Here is an 18,879-nt window from a genome sequence, read left to right as displayed (position 1 = left end):
CATATATGTACAAAGTTTTCAAAGCATTTAACTTCCACTTTATTGATTTCACATAAGAAAAATTTGACTTAAAATTTTATGCCAATACAATTGGCATAAAATATACATCTTCACCACCTCAAAAGAAACACAGCAGAATCCAATTACGTATCCCTCTCTTCCATGTGCATATAGTATCACAACCTACTAATCTGATCAATTTTTTTAAAAAAAAGCTTGTTAGTCATTTCAAATTAGATACCCCTCCACAAGCACTCTATCTATTCTTTACCCCCATACATTTTTGTTGAGTTAGAGATGGTCACAAATTCTTTGCTAATCTTCCCATTAAGTGGTAGAGTCAAATTCCCCACCCTCTGAATTTGGGCTGGCCTTGTAACCTGCTTTGACAAGAGAATGTGGCAGAAGTAATGCTGTGCCAATCTCAGACTTAAGTCTTAAGAAGGCCTGGTAGCTTCTACTTTTAACTCTTGGGATCCAGTTGTCATATAAAAAGCTTAAGGTAGAATACAGAATAATGAGAGAGCACATAGAGAGAGTACTGGATGATAACACACCAGATATAGTGAGAGGCCAGATGGAGAACTAGGCCTTCTTGGATATTCCAGCTCCAGCCAAACTCCCAGTTCAGTGCAGCTCTATGAGTGACTCCAGTGACATCACAAAGAGCAGTGGACCTGCCTGGTCAACCCACAGAATCATGAGAAATAATAAATTATTGTTTTAAGTCAAAAATTTTGGGGGTTTTGTTACACAGTAGTAGACAACTGGTCCCTTTCAACCTAAATGACTCGATCTTTTTTTTTTTTTGAGATGGAGTCTCACTCTGTCACCCAGGCTGGAGTCCAGTGGCGCGATCTAGGCTCACTGCAACCTCTGCCTCCCCAGTTTAAGCAAGTCTCCTGCCTCAGCTTCCCAAGTAGCTAAGATTATAGGCATGTGCCACCAAACCCAGCTAATTTTTTTGTATTTTTAGTAGAGATGGGAGTTCACCATGTTGGCTGGGCTGGTCTCTAACTCCCGACCTCAAGTGACCCGCTGTCCTCGACCTCCCAAAGTGCTGGGATTACAGGCGTGAGCCACTGTGCCTGGCCTCAATCTTCTCTTAATAAAATACTTAAACTATGTCTTTTCATGCAAAACGCGAGAGGGAGATAACAAACAGCAGCACCAAAATAACTTTTAAAAATCATTAAATCTACAAGGTACCTATCGTTTCATTTTCTACTTTTGGATTAAGTTTTTCCATTTATCATTAATAACCCAAGGGCTAACTTGTATATCTGCTCTATCAGATTTAACTGGGAAAAAAAATAAAGAGAAAAAACAAAACAAACAAGGTAAGTAATTTTACCAAGAACAAGCCTGTAACTCAAGGCAAGAAAAGCTTCTTCCTTGGCATTATTCCCTGTAGTTACACATTGTTGACATATTCCAAGAAGAGCTTTAGGAGAAAAGGTCAAATAAGTAACCCATCTGATTGTGATGAAAATTCAGAGGTAATTAAATGGTAACTCATTTTTGGTCCCAAACAACTTTAAGAGTCATACGTATGTGGTGTGTTTTTGAAGGGAAGTAAACTAATGAGATAACTTTAAGACTGTCCTTTTAAAACTTTTATTATATTTGGCAAGGAGAAAGCTTAAATGTGATGTTGTTCCTCCTTTTTCCTCTTCACAATAAAGGAACCCGTCCAGCCACACCAAGTTTAAGAGCCCAATGCGTATGGAATTAAGGAAATATGTGTGATTTTTCCTTAAGAGGGAAAAACAAAAGCCCCCATATTTTTCTGAAGCTCAATTTCAAATATTTCCCTTCCCTAATATTTGAGAAAGCCATGTAATAAGGCATTAATTATTCTAACGTAAATTAATTCATATGAATCAAATATTTCATTAAACATATGAGTACACCACCATGTTGTAGGTGAAAAGAAAAATAAAATGTAAGTGGTCACCAGTTATGCACAAATTATATACTTTATTTTTAAAAAGAAAACTAATCACATTAGTGAATAAAGGTATATTAATGGAAACTTGAAAAATTACTATTGTTCTTCTAAGACATCTACCCATGAATAGAATACCTTCTGAAAAGAATCTTCATCTGTTATGTCATAAACTAAAATCGCTCCATTTGAATCTCTGTAGTAAATTGGACCCAATGCATGGAATCTCTCTTGACCTGCCGTATCCTAAAGAAAGCAACAAATGCTTATTAGATCAGAAGAAAAATACAAATCTGCGATTGCAACTATGGTGAACTTTTTGATTAATTGGAAAATATGGCATAAAGTCAAAGACAACCACAAAACCCTATTAACAGAAACAAAACAGCAAAACAGGCCACACACAAAATTTTTAAGTTATGACCAATATGTAATGTTTTAGTGATATACAAAAGTTACTTTTTCCCTCCCAACCTTCCTCCTCCTCAGCACTTCCCCACCCCCATTAAAATACCAGTTTCAGTTGCCAGAGGGTCAAAACAACCAACACAGTATTATAAGCCAGGAATAGGCTCTGCCCTAAGTTTAAGTTCCCACACTGGGAGAGACAGGGAAATGGCACGTGCATCAAGATCACCAGTCAAGAAGTATCTGCTGCATTATCCTCACCCACCAGCCATTCTCTTAGAAGGCTGGAATATGGAGACACAGGGTGGGGAAAAAAAGGCCAGGCAAGCTGTCCACCCACCCTGTCCTCTCTCTGAAGTGGAACCCCTCTGAGTTGACCCTTCTCCAACTGAAAAGTTATGACAGCAATATTCAAATATACAATTATATTCCAGATATAATTCTCAACCAGATTTTAAGATTCTTTTTAATTAAAAAAAAAAAAAAGTGTTGGCTAAGCTCCAATTAACTTTAAAAAAAAAGAAAAAAGGAAGAAGCCTCCACGCATAATAGTTGAAAAAGTTCACTTACCCATATGGCAAGGTTTACTCTTTTCCCACCAATATTTAACTTCTTTGTTAAGAATGATGCCTAAAAAGAGAAATAAACATTAAACAATGTTTCTTATAAAATAAGGTTCTTTATCCTAACAACTATAGATGAATGAATCATCTCAATGTAAAAGTTATCTGGGAGAAAAAGTAATCACCGAGTTTTAAATTAATGATCGAAATTGTTTCATTAAAGATAAGACATTATTTACATTTTTATCTAAAAAAAAATCTTGTTTTCTGAAAATAGGTTATACAAAACACACAGAAAATAAGTATTTTTTTCTTAATATTTTTCCTTATCTATGTGGAACAAAATTTTCCCTAGAGCATTTAATTTGATGCTACCTTATCACAGAAAGAAAGAGTCTAAGAGATTTCTAAGATAAAATAAATGTTTACTGGTGGTTTACTTAATGTACAAATATCAATATTATTCAAAATGATTCCACAGTTACTTCATAACTCAATTGTTTAACATATATTCAATAATTATCCTAAGTATTAATGTCAGAGAAATGAAGGGACACGGTTCTACCCTTTATACTCTACTAGAGAAATAAAAATAAAGAGAATTACGATTCCATGTGATAATTGCTAAAATGGAGGGTCTTGCCAAATACACTGTAAAGATAGTACTGAGAAAGGAAGTATAACAGTTGTCTGAATGAGTCAAAGAAGGCTTCAGAGAGAAGGTAATGATCTCCCCTTTAGGAGCAGTAGGGACTGTTCCTGATAGATGAGTGAAGCCACTGAAGCCTCAAACACATGACTCCATCCCACAGGGAACTCCAAGTGGGTATGGTCAATACCAGAGATGAAACTACACAGATGGACTTTACCTTGTGGGTCTCAACAAAACCTGTTCTAAGACACCAGACATGTATTTAGACACACACACACACACGTCAAGTATACTTTGGAAATACTATGTATTGATTTTTATACACCAACAATGCACATTAACACATTAGGATGCTGCCAAAAGGAAGGCTAGCTGACTGTATTTATACAAGCATTTCCCAAACTCATTTGAACTTTTTTTCCCTGATTTTCTTCTGTATAGCACTGAACCTTTTTTTCCTGGAAAAATACCAAATTCATCCTAAAGAACAACTGTTTGAAGAAACAGGACTACTGACAAGGGAGAATCACTGAATGGTTTCAAGCAATGGGGAAACAGATCTATATTTTAAGAGAATGACCCTGGGATAGGAAGGGAGGTTGGACTAGAAAAGATAGGTAGAAAGAACACTTACAAAATTGGAGAAAAATATAAAAAAGGAGATCTGAACTAAGACCATGAAGATAGGAAAGAAAGAAGAGTATCAAGAGTTACTGAAGACAAAATATATCCAGAATCCAGAGTCAGCTGACGTGTTTAAAAAAAAGGAATAGAGAGCTGAGTTCAGACCTGTATAGAGATAGTCACATTTAGGTGTTATTTATATAGAAGAAAGTGCAAAGAAGGTGAAACAGATAAAAGGTCAGGATGGTGAATTACTGAAGGAAAGAAACAATTGAGATTTCTTTTACCTCAATTTCAGGAAGGTCTTTTTGCTATGGGCACACCACAGAAAATTAGAACTAAGAAAAGGCCACTGGATGTAGTGATTAACCAAGGAGTCTACAGATAAATATAAATGGCAGAGCTGGGTTCAAACCCATGTATGTCTGCCTTCAAGGCCCAAGCTATCCTCAAGATATTTTGTAAATAAAATAAAAATTATACAGAAAAGAAGAAAAATTAAATGCCAAAACAGCAAAGTAACCTGAAAAATGAGAAGACCAAATACATGTTATGACAATAAATGTCTTCTCCCATTCATGCTAGCATAGGAGCTAAGAATATGAACTTTGGAGCAGAACCTGTGGATTTGAATCTCAGCTTTGCCACATACTAGCTGTGTAATTTATTTGAACTCAATCATTTTCATGGTTTCAATATCAATGCCACATGGAAAAAAAACAAAATCTGAATCCTATCCGAATATTTAATGGATAGGTCAATTTAAGTGCCTCTTTTTCAAACACATGTAAGAAAGACTGAACCGATCTTCTCCCCAAAATTGGATTTTCATTCTGACTTTAGTATTTTGATCACATTCGCCTTCTCATTGAAGTTTAGAAACTTGGAAATATCTTCTTAAGCCCTTGTCAGTCTATATGCCTCCAAAATCTACCAAGCCTTGTCTTCACATTTCCTCTGGGGTCTATGACCACCAGTCTCTTATTATATCGTAACATAAATACCTCTGGTTCACCTTACACCCCGCTCTGCATGCCATATTATCTTCCCAAAGCTTCCCTGGTTAAAACAAAAACAAAAACAAAACAAACAAAAAAAACCCCACAACAACAACTTACAACTCATCGAAGGGTTCCCTAACAGGTTATCATTTTTAATAAGTATGCTTGAACATCCCTGCTGACAGCTAATATCATAACCTTTTGGTCATGAGTGTTGTGGAGATTTCTCAGAAGAAGGGAGTGCATCAGAGTTGGTAAAGCTGCCTCATTTCTTTTCTACCATCCCCTCTGAAATTTCCCACCACTCTCCCACGGCAAATTTAAAGGACGGTATTAAGTCTCCATTAAGGAACTATGGATACACAAAAACACTTGTACGGAAAGGGTACACATGACAACACTGATTATATAGAAAAACAAAAACAATGAAATTATCTGTGTTCATTAATAGGTAAGTAGTTAAAAATTCACAAAAATAGCCATCCATGCAGTAAAAACACTACACAGTCATTTCTACTACTGCTGCTAATACTAGCTAACATTTATTAAATGTTTATTTTGTGCCAAGTACTGTGCTATGCACTTTTCACAAAATCATTCATAAGCTGCTTCTTTATAAAAGTTGGGGAGCCCACATTTACAATTAAAAGTCTCAAAGCCTTATCTTTATATCCAAAGACTTCCACAACGTGTCCACATCTATCTTCTTAGGACAGCTTCCAATATTTCTTTACTTATTCTCCAACTTATATGGCTTTTTTGCATCCTCTTCAATTCTTCTGTCCATAAAATTCCACTCTAATTTGAGCCTATTCTCTGTTCTCTATCTGAATTCCACCTATCCAAATATGGCTCTTTTTCCTTGAAATTTCATGTTCTCTTATACTCATGCACGCAATGCACACAAATTTTTCTAGCCTGAAGAATTTTAGGGAATCAACTCTGCATTTACTGCAGCTTATACTGTCTTATACTATAAATTATCTTTTCATGGGTATAAGTATTCTGTTAACTAGACTACATATTTTTATTTAACGTTTCTACAGCACTTACAATGAAATGGGCAGTGTTCTAAGAGCTTCTCAAATATTAATTCACTTAATTCTCAGGTGCCAATAACACCCTGTGAGTCAGAGATAATTGTTACCCATGTATTACAGATGTGGAAAATGAGGCATAAGGAGGGTAAATATCTTGCCCAAGGTCACACAGTAAGTGACACAGTGCCACTTGAAATCCCAGGCAGTTTGGCTCCAGATATTAATTATAACTACTATGCTACGATACTTCTCAGACTGAGATCTGAGCTCTCTAACACTTCCACTCTTGTGGAAGAAGTGGGTGGAAGTCATAGTACCCTGCCCATAATTGACAATCAAATACTGTTATTATAGATAAGCACATCTACAATATGCCCAGGTAAATCAATGCAGGTATAACTCAATTTAGTAGGAGATATGCTCCTAAGTTTCCTTCTTAATCAAATTATTTTAACTCATATATATGATGCACTAGTAAAGCATATTATCAAAGGATCCCTAGTAAATATTTTTTTCCTTCATAATGAAAAACTTAAGCCCTGCTCTATGGAAAGATTCTGTTTCGTAAATCATCTCATTTGATATAAATCCTAAGTTTTTAATATTTTATAGACATTTTCTTCAAGGGAGAACTCTTTTTAAAAAACTTTAGAAAACTTTTTTAAAAAATAAAATTATGAATATATTTAAGAAGAAAGCTGAAACATCAAGATAGCAACAAACAGGTATAAAAATAGGCACGTAGACCAATGGAACAATAGAGAACGCAGAAATAAAGCCAAATACTTACACTTACCTGATCTTCGACAAAGCATATAAAAACAGAAATTTGGGAAAAGATAGCCTATTTAACAAAAGGTGCTAGGAAAACTGGCAAGCCACATGTAGAAGAATGAAATTGGATCCTCATCTCTCACCTTATACAAAAATCAACTCAAGATGGATCAAAGACTTAAATCTAAGAACTGAAACCATAAAAATTCTAGGGGATAACATTGGAAAAACTCTTCTAGACATTGGCTTAGAGAAAGAATTCATGACTAACACCCCAAAAGCAAATGCAACAAAAACAAAAATGAATAAATGGTACCTAATTAAACTGAAACGCTTCTGCACAGCAAAATAAATACTCAGCAGAGTAAACAGACAACCCAGAGTGGAAGAAAATGTTCGTAAACTAAGCATCCAACAAAAGACTAATATCCAGAATCTACAAGGAACTCAAACATATCAGCAAGAAAAAAACAACCCCATCAAAAAGTGGGCAAAGGACATGAAAAGACAATTCTCAAAAGAAGATATACAAACAGCCAACAAACGTATGAAGAAATGCTCAACATGACTAATTATCAGGGAAATGCAAATTAAAATCACAATGACATACCCCTTACTCCTACAAGAATGACCATAATTAGTCAAAATAACAATAGATGTTGGTGTGGATGTGATGAAACGGGAACACTTTTACACTGCTGGTGGGAACGTAAACTAGAACAACCACTAAAGAAAACAGTATGGAGATTACTTACAGAACTAAAAGCATTATAGATCTATCATTTGATCCAGCAATCCCACTACTGAGTATTTACCCAAAGGAAAAGAAGTTGTCATATGAAAAAGACACATGCACACATGTTTACTGCAGCACAATTCACAACTGCAAAGATATGGAGCCAACCTGAGTGTCCATCAACCAACAAGTGAATAAAGAATATGCGGTATATATACGCCATAGAATACTACTCAGCCATAAAAAGGAATGAAATAATGTCTTTTACAGCAACTTGGATGGAGCTGGAGGCCATTATTCTAAGTGAAGTAGCTCAAGAATGGAAAACCAAATATTGTACGTTCTCACTTATAAGTGAGAGCTAAGCTATGAGGATGCAAAGGTGTAAGAAATGATATAATGGAATTTGGGTACTCAAGGAGGAAGGTTTGGAGGAGGGTATGGGATAAAAGACTACATATTGAATATGGTGTACACTGCTCAGGTGCACCAAAATCTCAGAAATCACCACTAAAGAACTTATCCATGTAGCAAAAAAACACCTATACCCCAAAAACTATTGAAATAAAAATAAAAATTTATAAAAAAAGATAGCAGCAAACAATCAAAAGGCTGAAATTTGTCTTTTCTTTTTTAACCACCTCTACTAGGCACATTTAATTTGGCCAGACTACTGAGATACCACTGTAGTTATAATAATTACTCTGGAGCAGTGGTTCTTAATTCTTACATGGTACTGAGGGGGGAGAAGTAATTATAAACTTCTTTAAGAATATGAAGAAATCCATGAACCTACTCACTCCCCAGAACACCACTCATACGCACATACTAAAAACAATTCCCACGTACTTCCAAGAGATTTATAAATGCCTGGCAACATCTCAGTAAAGAACTCCCAGTCCACAAACGGAAGGAGGGAGAGTAACATTAAACAATAGCCAATTCAAAAGGTTCTAGGACTATAGGAAGGGGAGAAAAATCATACTATGTGCCAAGCACTGTGCTTGGGCTTTTTCATTTAATTTTCAACAACTCTGTGAAGTAGATATTTATCCTTACTTTACAGCTGTGAACCTGATTTTTTTTAAAAAATACAGTGATTCACGGAAGGTCAGACAGCTCAGCTGGGTGCTGCAGTGGGTGGAAGCCTGTCTGACTCCACAATGGTTTTTCCATTGCACAAAGCTAACTATTCTAGGACATACACACATTTCTTAATCTGGCACTCCTCCACTTGGACAGTAAGTGTTCTTGGACCCTAACCTCCCCAAATATTCTCAGGGTAGGCACAAAGTATTACTAGCAAGGATCCATGTAAGTTATGGCACATTCTCCACCCTACCTCCTTCAAATCCTGAGTTATTTCACCAGTACATCTTCTAATCTCAATTATTTCACCTTCTATGCTTTAGTGATATTACAAAATTAACAATCTTATTAGCTCATGTTGTCATCTGTAACTTGTATTAACACCTGATTCTTGTTTATCCAACAGCTCAGTGGCTATCATAGTGGAAGACAAAAAAAGAAAATGCTATTTAAAAAAAAATCGACAGGTAATCACAGGGAGGAGGAAAAAAATTAAAAATTTAAAAACTTAAAAAAAGGATTATAAGAGAGAAATAACAGGGAAAAAATATATCTGCCAAATTAAAGTCTTTTCATAACTTGTTTAATCAATTTTTTGGTTCTCTGTTAGCGGGACCATTTGCTGTGCTTGCTAACTACCGTTCTGTCAAAGCAAACCACCTAAAGTAGTATTTGATAATTATAAGGTATCTGTTGAAAGCAACATAGTAACTACATTGTGAACAAATACTTTCCTGGCTTTATCTAGTATCAACTAAATTCAACAGACTTCATTAATTGGGGGCCTGCCGTTGGGGAGTGTATGAGTAAGATAGTAAGATTGTGTGTGTGTGTGTGTGTGTGTGTGTGCGTGCAAAATAAATATTCTTGCTAGTTGCTAACACTGGTGCAGGCTTAAGTATTTAAATAATGTACAACTATTTGTTAATTTTTAAAATAAAATAAAAAAATAAATGAGTAAAGCATTACCACTTCCATACTTAAGAGATGACAGAATTCAGGCAGGTTAATTTATAAAATTAGCCCTCTCTAGCAAGGCAATAAAAATTAGCTATCAAAAAACTAAGCTAGGCCGGGCATGGTGGCTCACGCCTGTAATCCCAACACTTTGGGAGGCTGAGGTGGGTGATCACCTGAGGTCAGGAGTTCGGGACCAGCCTGACCAACAAGGTGAAACCCCATCTCTACTAAAAATATAAAATTAGCCAGGCGTGATGGTGGGCGCCTGTAATCCCAGCTACTCAGGAGGCTGAGGCAGGAGAATTGCTTGAATCCACGGGGCAGAGGTTGCAGTGAACTGAGATCGTGCCATTCCTCTCCAGCTTAGGCGAAAGGGCGATACACCATCTCAGGAAAAAAACAAAACAAAACCTATCCCAGCACTTTGGGAGGCCGAGGCGGGCGGATCACGAGGTCAGGAGATCGAGACCATCCTGGCTAACACGGTGAAACCCCGTCTCTACTAAAAATACAAAAAATTAGCCGGGCGTGGTAGCGGGCGCCTGTAGTCCCAGCTACTCGGGAGGCTGAGGCAGGAGAATGGCGTGAACCTGGGAGGCGGAGCTTGCAGTGAGCCGAGATCGCGCCACTGCACTCCAGCCTGGGCGACAGAGCGAGACTCCGTCTCAAAAAACAAAACAAAACAAAACAAAACAAAACAAAACCTAAGCTAGGTGCTTGAATATTTTCACATTTCTTCTTAGTTTCTAAAAACAAGGATTATAATTAGTTTAGGAGTCCAAATAAAGACTTTCAAAAGGAAAGTCAAAGAATCATGTTTAAAGAGTAACTCAAAGCACAAAGCAGAAAATGGCAGTCAGATATAGAAATTTGTGGCCACATTCACAAAAACTCATTTCTTAAGTAAAATCACCCAAACTTCTATAAAATACTAATTAAATACTAAGCAGAAAAAGATTTTAAAAGAACTTCAATTATTATACTGTATGAAGATATTATAATAAATCACTTAAATTAACAGTAATATGGTTTTCAAGGATACTTACAAAATACTTTGAACACTCAAAATATTCTTTATGCAAACAAAGAAACCAAGATTCCTAGACCAAGACTATGATGCAAAATGTAAAACCACTGCTACAACCTGAATGCCAAGTGTTGCTCAGGTTAAGGTGTGTTTAAAAAATAAATAAAAGCCAAGTGTCTCAAAAATAAAATAAAATAAATTTTCTTTTAAGAAGTAGTAGACTAGGCCAAAAAAGCCATACCATTTCTATTTTTTAAATTTATTTATTTTTTATTTTTATTTTTTTGAGATGGAGTCTTGCTCTGTTGCCCAGGCTGGAGCACAATGGTGCAATCTTGGCTCACTGCAACCTCTGTCTCCCAGGTTCAAGTGATTCTCCTTCCTTAGCCTCCTGAGTAGCTGGGATTACAGGTACCCACCATCATGCCTGGCTCATTTTTGTATTTTTGTAGAGATGAGGTTTCACCATGTTAGCCAGGCTGGTCTTGAACTCCTGACCTCAGGTGATCCACCCACCTCAGCCTCCCAAAGTGCTGGGCTTACAGGTGTGAGCCACCATGCCCGGCCCTTGTATTTTTATTTTTTAAAAACAGGGTCTTACTATGTTGCCCAGGTTGGTCTTAAACTCCTGGGCTCAAGCTATCCTCCTGCCTGCACTTCTCAAAGTGCTGGGATTACTGAGCCACTATGCCCAGCTGGCACACCATTTCTATTTGTGGGACCTTGGAAATTTAATTCAAGTCTTTTTCATTTTTTAAGAGACAGGGTCTCACTCTGTCACCCAGCTGGAGTGCTGTGGCACAATCATAGCTCACTGCAGCCTCAATCTCTTAGGCTCAAGTGATCCACCAGCCTCAGCCTCCTGAGTACCCAGGAATATGAGTGTGCATCACCATGCCCAGCTATTTTTTTTTTTTTTTAACTAGAGATGGACTCTTGCTACATTACCCATGCTGGTCTTGAACTTGTGTCCTCAAGCAATCCTCCCACCTCATCCTCCCAAAGCATGGGATTATAGGTGCGAGCCACTGCACCCAGCCAAATCCAAGTCTTAGTTTCCTCATTTGCCAAACTGTTAGGATACTACCTGCCTAGCCAACCTTACAGCACTACTTTGTTATTCACCCAGACACCTATCCTAGACTTCAGGAGGCAAGCAGAATTCTATAGTTGGGACTCTAAAAAGAAAGGGGACTGTTGATCTTGATTAATCTTCAATAAGCACCTTCAATAAGGGAAAAAAAAAGGGGTACATAACCCAGGAGCACAGATATAAAGAAGGCACACCAAATTGAGGAAGTGGTTAAAACCAAAATGGCACAATCCTTTAAGAATAAAGTCAAGAAAAGTAACTGATAGTTAAAGTACCTTGCTCATCGTTATATTCCCCAGCTAATACAATGTTTGACATATACCAAGTATAAAATAAACGTTTCTTGAATTTAACTGCATAGATTCAACAGTATTGCCTTCGTAAATTCCAGAGAAACAGTAGTAACTCCCTCACTCCAATTGTCTTTCTTATTTTTCCCAAGTTTATCAAAGCCTCAAATCAGCGAGGAAATCACACGAGAGCTTGGGGACTCTATATAAGTTAAGAGAGCTTACGTACAGGATTACTCCGTAACTATCAGTAACCTTGGAGCAGCTCTGGAAAAAGAGAGCCACACTAAAACACCAAAGTATGGCAAATGTCACAATTAAAAAACAAAAAAAAGAAAGTGAATTCCGGAAATGTAGATCTCAGTGAAAACACTAGAATGGATTTGCTTTGTTTTAAAAATATTTAACCTATAAGCAATTTTAAATATAATGACCCCTCAGAGACAGCATGAGTTCTCAAAATAATTCATGTGAAAATAATCCCATTACCCTTTTTGACTGAATTGCCATGAAAGAAAAACATAAATCCCGCATCATTTATTCATTTAACATCAAACAGCAAACATTTATTAAACAAACATGTGCCAGGCTCTGTGCTAGTAGCTTTACATATGACGGCTGTCTATGTAATAATCCACATAAAGTCCTATGAGTAAGGTACTCCCATTTTAAAGAAAAGGAGCTTGCTTACAGGCATTAGAATATCCTGTCAGGATCACGATGGCTATGAAGTGGGAGTAAGAATTCAAACCCCAGTGTAACTTCAAAGTCCTTTCTCTTTTCACCACATTATATGGCCTCCTAATAGATTTGAGTACTGCAGAAACACAGCCTATCTTGTCTTCTGCAAGAATTTGACAAAGCATCTCATGATAACCTTGTGGGCAAGACAGATGTAGCTTGGGCAAAAAGGAGAACTGTAATGCTGGAGTAAATGTTTACATTTTATTAAGGGATTTGTGTCCACTAGGTAGTAGCCCATAGCAGTCAGTCTTCCATTATCATTAATATGTATAGCACTCCATTAACAACTGTTTCTTACTCAAGGGAAGGAGGAGGGGATGGCCTGTGGCCCATGCATGGCCCAAAAAAGCCCCTAAGATTCTATATGTCTACAGAAAATTGCACTTCTGGTCATGTATCACTGGACTACAGTAAAACTTGCTGCAGAGCTTTGCACTTGGCCCTCTCTCTCTGCTTTCTTTCATAGTCTTTAATAATGACCTGTTGAGAACATTAAAGGCATTCTTACCTAACTTTCAGATGACAAAGTTAAAAAGTAGCTAATCCAGACAGTAGATTCCACACCTTATTCTTTGCCATGTCCAGGACCCAACCCAGTACCTGGCCCAAAGGAGCCCAGTCAGTGTTTTGTGAATTACAGAATCCAAATTAAAAAGGACATTAACAGGCTTAACTATTGGAGCAAATCTACCAAAGCCAACCTTAATGGGTCAAGTATATTAGAAACAAAAGAAAAAGCTTAACTACAATACCAAAGAAAAGAGAATCTGAGAGATACAAATAATGCCTTTTTTTGAAGCAATTAAGACTAAGATGTTTCAGTTGACAGCAAATTCAATATTTATCAAAGAGAAATTCTGAGAGCTTCCCTAAAAGCTCAGAGAATCTCTTCTACTTCAGTGTTGGAAAAGGATTCTCAACAGGAGAGGTGACAGCCTGCACTTCTCTGTTCAGTTCAAACCACCACACCTGGAATTATTTCTACAGCTCAAGGAATCACACTTTAAGGAAAGGACAATGATTACATAGTGCCTAGAAGAGATTCAAAATAGTGAAAGGGCCAGGCACAGTGGCTCATACCTGTAATTTCAGCATTTCAAGAGGCCAAAGCAGAAGGATTGCTTGAGCTCAGAGTTCTACAACAGCCTGGGCAACATAGCAAAACCTCAACTCTACCAAAAAAAAAAAATTAGCCGAGCATGGTGGCGCACGCCTGTGGTCCCAGCTACTTGGAGGCTGAGGTGGAAGGATTACTTGAACCCAGGAGTTGGAGGCTGCAGGCAGCTATGATATCACCACTAGAGCAAGACTCTGCCTCCAAAAAAAAAAAAAGTGAAAGGATTTAAAACGATGTCACTGTCACTGGAGATCCAGTTAAGGGAGCCAGAGTTGTTTACCCAAGAGAAGACAAGATAGCTATCTTCAACTATCAGAAGGAATGTCATATGAGACACCAAGACTCAGTGGGGAGAATTAGGACTGAAAACTACTAAAAATAAAATAGGACCGGAAGTGGTGGCTCACACCTGTAATCCCAGCACTTTGGGAGGCCGAGGCAGGTGGATCACCTGAGGTCAGGAGTTCGAGACCAGCCTGGCCAACACGGCAAAATCCCATCGCTACTAAACATACAAAAATTAGCCAGGCATGGTGGCACATGCCTGTAGTCCCAGCTACTCGGGAGGCTGAGGCAGGAGAACCACTTGAATCCAGGAGGCAGAGGTTGCAATGAGCCGAGATCGCACCCCTCCACTCCAGCCTGGGTGATAGAGTGAGACTCCATCTCAAAAAGAAAAAAAAAAAAATTTAAAAATGAAATGGGACACCTTAGGACAAAGTGAGCTTTCCACTTTCCATAATACCAGTTCATTTCACCTCCAAGATGTTAAAAAAAAAAAGGGGGACAATCACTTGACTAAACATTAGAAGACCAAAATAGTGATCCATACATAACTGTCTTAAATTCCTGTCAATCCTGCAATTCTTTGAAATGTATGAGAATGTACTTTATAAAATACAAAGTAGTTTACATAGACAGGTACTCTGTTGACGAGAAAAAAGGTGAACTCTTCCTCTCATATCTTCTGACATGATTTCCTCTCCATTTGGAAATTAAAAGAATACAAAGTTGTGTCTTACAAGTCACATAAATCAAATTCCTCTGAAAAATTGTTAAGAAAGATGAGGTTAACTGGTATCTCTGAAAGAGATTAGACACATTGCTGTTTACATACATTGGTGTACAACAAAATCCTAAATTCTATAATATAATTCAGATATTAATACTGGATATCTACTATAACTTCATCCTCCCCTCTGTGGAGTACAGTGGCTTTTCATATATTTAAAAACCTTTACTCTGCTTTCAGTTTCAAGAATGTTTTAGAAATTTAAAATGGAAGTGTAATTTTTAAGTTGAAAGGGTATGGCCAGGTGCAGTGGCTCACCCCTGTAATCCCAGCACTTTGGGAGGCCAAGGTGGGCAAATCACCTGAGGTCAGGAGTTCGAGACCTGTCTGGACAACATGGTGAAACCCCGTTTCTACTAAAAATACAAAAAAATTAGCCAGATGTGGTGGCGTGTGCCTGTAATCCCAGCTACTTGAGAGGTTGACGCAGGAGAATCACTTGACCCAGGAGGTGGAGGTTGCAGTGAGTGGAAATTGCTGCACTTCAGCCTGGGCGACAGGGCAAGACTCAAGTTATCTTTTGAAAAAAAACGTGGAGACCTCAATTACAATAGTTTTCTTTTATCTTAGATCTTTGCATAAAGGAAAACACTAGATGGGTTATTTATCAATATACCGAGGTAATGTGATTTAATTGCTCAAAATCTGAAGTCAGACAGGGGTTCAAATTTGAGCTTGGACACTCCTGCCCCATTGACTTGTGGTAATATTACTGCCAGCAAAATTACTCAACTAAACGTTTTTCCTCAGCTGTAGGGCTATCCACTAAACTATCCACTTCATAGGGTGTTATAAGAATTAAAGCAAGCAGACAGAAAGCAAGCAAAATAATCAGCACAGTAAGAACTCACTAAATGTTAGCTATTGTTACTACTTTACCTAAGTAAATCTCTAAACTTCCAAATGATCCTAGGTATTTGTCCAGTGAATTTTCTTGATCTAAAACACCAGGCTCTCACTAATGACACTGAACAATAACAATTCATTATTAAAATTTTGTCAGTGTTCTGGTACAAGGATTTTTTAAAAATGCAGTTTCCTGGCACTCACTTTTTCAGATATGCTTTACATACGAGTAAAATCAGAGGAGTAAAAATAGAACATGGAATCAGAGCCAGAGCGTCTTGTAAATTCTAGACTCAGTAGTTTAATAATAGCATCAAACATCCAATGTCACAACAATTAGGAGATTACGCATTCTATTAAGTAGTGTCGATGTTCTCACATACTACACATTTACTAATTAAGACCTATTGTGCAAGTTGGGGCGGTAATTAAAGGCAGACAACTTACACTGGACCAGGTCATCAGTGCTTTTTCTGTATATTTATCCTGACAACCCTATGAGCTAGATACTACTATTATGGCCATTTTAACAGAAGAAACAGGCACAGACAGGTTAAGTAACTTACCCAGTATGACACAGCTAGTTAAATGGATGGAGGTGAGACATGAACCTGGACAATCAGGCTCAAAAGTCCACTAGACTTTACTGCCTTTGACCAAATTGGTAAGTCAAATTAGTAGGATAAATTTCTCCTAATAACATCAAAACTGATTTCTCTGGGAGAGGTGGGGTGAGTACAACTCCCTCAAAGGCCTGGCTTCACTCTCAATCAATGATAACATTTTAACACCTTTCCAATGTACCTGTGGAAGAAAGCCGACCTTTTATTTTACAGGTAAAGAAACTGAGTAACAGCAGCGGCTTTTAGTCTGGGGACCAATTGTTGGCCAGTATTCACTTGATGTTTCAGCGTGGGTCAATCGACCTCGCAGAATATGAGTGACCCGCAAGTCAGACCCACGCAGGCTGCAATGAAACTGCGTAACACGCCTAGGCAAGCGGTCATTTCAAAAAACCTCCAGAGATGGCTCTTTTGCCATTCCTGTTACTCAGGACAAAATGGAACTTGCATAAACACTTAGTCATCAGTAAGCGCTGAAGTTACAAATCACCTAATTCGCAAAATCAAATACGCAGCTAAGTTCCTAATTCTGAAAGAAAGAAAAGGAGCTAACATTTGGAGACTGCAACACTGACACCTGGGACCCAGGAACTGCAGTAAATGGGAAAAAACAGCCCACGGACGGAGACCACAACGTGCGCAGCCACCACGGGGAACACTGGGGACTTTTCAGGGCCCTTCCACTTCCCTCCCAACAGCCTGTCCTCGCGTCTACAGGCTGCCCCGACCTGGTGATTCCCCAGGGCGAATTCGGAAAGGTAAACCGAAGGCGGAGATGACAGGCCTGAGATTTGCCAGCCTACATCCAGGGGACCAGGGCGGCAAAGTTTCCCCAGCCCCGGAGGGGTAGGGGCCCTGAGGCGCCCCCTCCCGCTCCCCGAGGTCCGCACCTGCAGAGTGGTGATGTGCTTGTCGTTAAACTTGTTCTCGCAGTAGCGCAGCACCAGCGACGTCTTCCCCACGCAGCCTTCCCCCAGCAGCACCACCTTGAACGAGTAGGCTCGGCCCGCCGCCGCCGCCCCGCCGCCGCCGCCGCCGGCCGCAGCCATCCCGTCGCTTCCCGGCCGCCCGAGCCCGAGTGTCGCGCCGCCCTCCCGACAGCCGCGGCAGCGCCTTCACAGCCACGGCCGGCTCAGCCCCCACCGCCCCGGCCCCGCCGACCCGGGCGCTGTCCCCACGCCCTCCTCGGGCGAGGCCTGGAAGGGCTGAGGGAAAGTCCGAGAATGAAGGGCCCCAGCCCACCACGTCAGGCACCGGAGGAAAAGCGAAGAACGATCCCTCTCTGCCTCCCTCTAATGGCGTCTCCTTCCTCCTACGTCACACCTCGGGTCACGTGAGCGCCGGTGCCGGGGCGGCCCCTGCGACTAGCCCCAGAAGAACGTGCCTGGACGTGGGCGGGGCTTCTGGGGCATCTCCCGGGGTGGAGCTGGATGTGAGTCGAGCGCCTACTGGCAATCTAGGGCAGAGCCCCGCCGCTTGCGAGCCACCTCTGCTTTTCAGTTGGTGGGAGCCAGCGGGAATAAGGAACCAGGAATTTGAGGCGAGCCCAGCTCTGGTGAAATGAAGGGCAGAACTTCATCGTTTTTGCATGTTCACAATGCTAATGATCTGTCACACCAGAGGTCACTGTAAACCATATCTGCCAAGGTGCCCTTGAATCTCTCTCTGTGGGATCCCGAATCATAGCGCTTCCAAGTTCCTCTGACCGCCTGGTCAACTACTCCATCATCTTTCAAGTCTCAGCTTAAACCGCGTCCCTGACCACCCAATCCTTCCCCCATCCTTCCATTCCCCCACCTCACAAAATTAGGTATTTCTTACCACCAGTATACCTCCTTTACTAGGGCTTTACACACTCCATGGATATTATTAATACTTTGCTAAGTGTTTATCGACTCTCATTAGACTATAGGTTTGTTGAGGGCAAGGTCTGTATAAGAGCTGCCCACCTTTGAATTCCTAACCCCAAGTGCTCTTCAGTTTTTCTGACTTTCATGAAGCCTCTGACGTTCCATGGTACTCCACCTTGAGGTGGCTTGTTCGATGATTGCTTGTTTTTTCTCATCTGCATCCCCATTCTTTTTTGTTTGTTTGTATTGTTAGTTTTGAGATGGAGTATCGCTCTGTCGCCCAGACTGGAGTGCAGTGGCGTGATCTCAGCTCACTGCAGTCTCTGCCTCCTGGTTCAAGTGATTCTCCTGCCTCAGCCTCCCGAGAAGCTGGGACCATAGGCGCCCACCACCGCGCCCCGCTACTTTTTGTATTTTTAGTG

At 39.5% G+C, this 18,879-nt stretch overlaps 1 protein-coding gene across 2 annotated transcripts in view, besides 3 other annotated features; it reads right to left on the bottom strand.

Moving 5' to 3' along the window:
• The window catches only part of RAB21 (RAB21, member RAS oncogene family), a 45,424-nt gene extending 27,501 nt beyond the window's left edge, over positions 1-17,923 (bottom strand). Inside the window, exons 1-3 of one of the 2 annotated variants that reach the window (NM_014999.4) lie at positions 17,498-17,923; positions 2,927-2,986; positions 2,087-2,194 (exon numbers count right to left, since the gene is read on the bottom strand). In NM_014999.4, the coding sequence (NP_055814.1) occupies positions 2,087-2,194; positions 2,927-2,986; positions 17,498-17,656 (327 nt within the window). In that variant the 5' untranslated portion in view covers positions 17,657-17,923. Of the gene's footprint in view, positions 1-2,083; positions 2,195-2,926; positions 2,987-17,497 lie in introns of both variants that reach the window. The other variant, XM_047428541.1, reaches the window with a different exon arrangement.
• Positions 17,032-17,221: an enhancer, noted in NCBI's record as "active region_6664". NCBI's record gives its function as "activates an Ori minimal core promoter by ATAC-STARR-seq in GM12878 lymphoblastoid cells {active_cell/tissue: GM12878}" and the evidence as "EXISTENCE:reporter gene assay evidence [ECO:0000049][PMID:35858748]".
• Positions 17,602-17,881: a silencer, noted in NCBI's record as "silent region_4659". NCBI's record gives its function as "represses an Ori minimal core promoter by ATAC-STARR-seq in GM12878 lymphoblastoid cells {active_cell/tissue: GM12878}" and the evidence as "EXISTENCE:reporter gene assay evidence [ECO:0000049][PMID:35858748]".
• Positions 17,862-18,151: an enhancer, noted in NCBI's record as "active region_6663". NCBI's record gives its function as "activates an Ori minimal core promoter by ATAC-STARR-seq in GM12878 lymphoblastoid cells {active_cell/tissue: GM12878}" and the evidence as "EXISTENCE:reporter gene assay evidence [ECO:0000049][PMID:35858748]".

Source organism: Homo sapiens, chromosome 12, assembly GCF_000001405.40.
Source record: "Homo sapiens chromosome 12, GRCh38.p14 Primary Assembly".
NCBI classification, from domain to species: Eukaryota; Metazoa; Chordata; class Mammalia; order Primates; family Hominidae; genus Homo; species Homo sapiens.
This window is presented reverse-complemented; position numbering and strand designations above follow the sequence as displayed.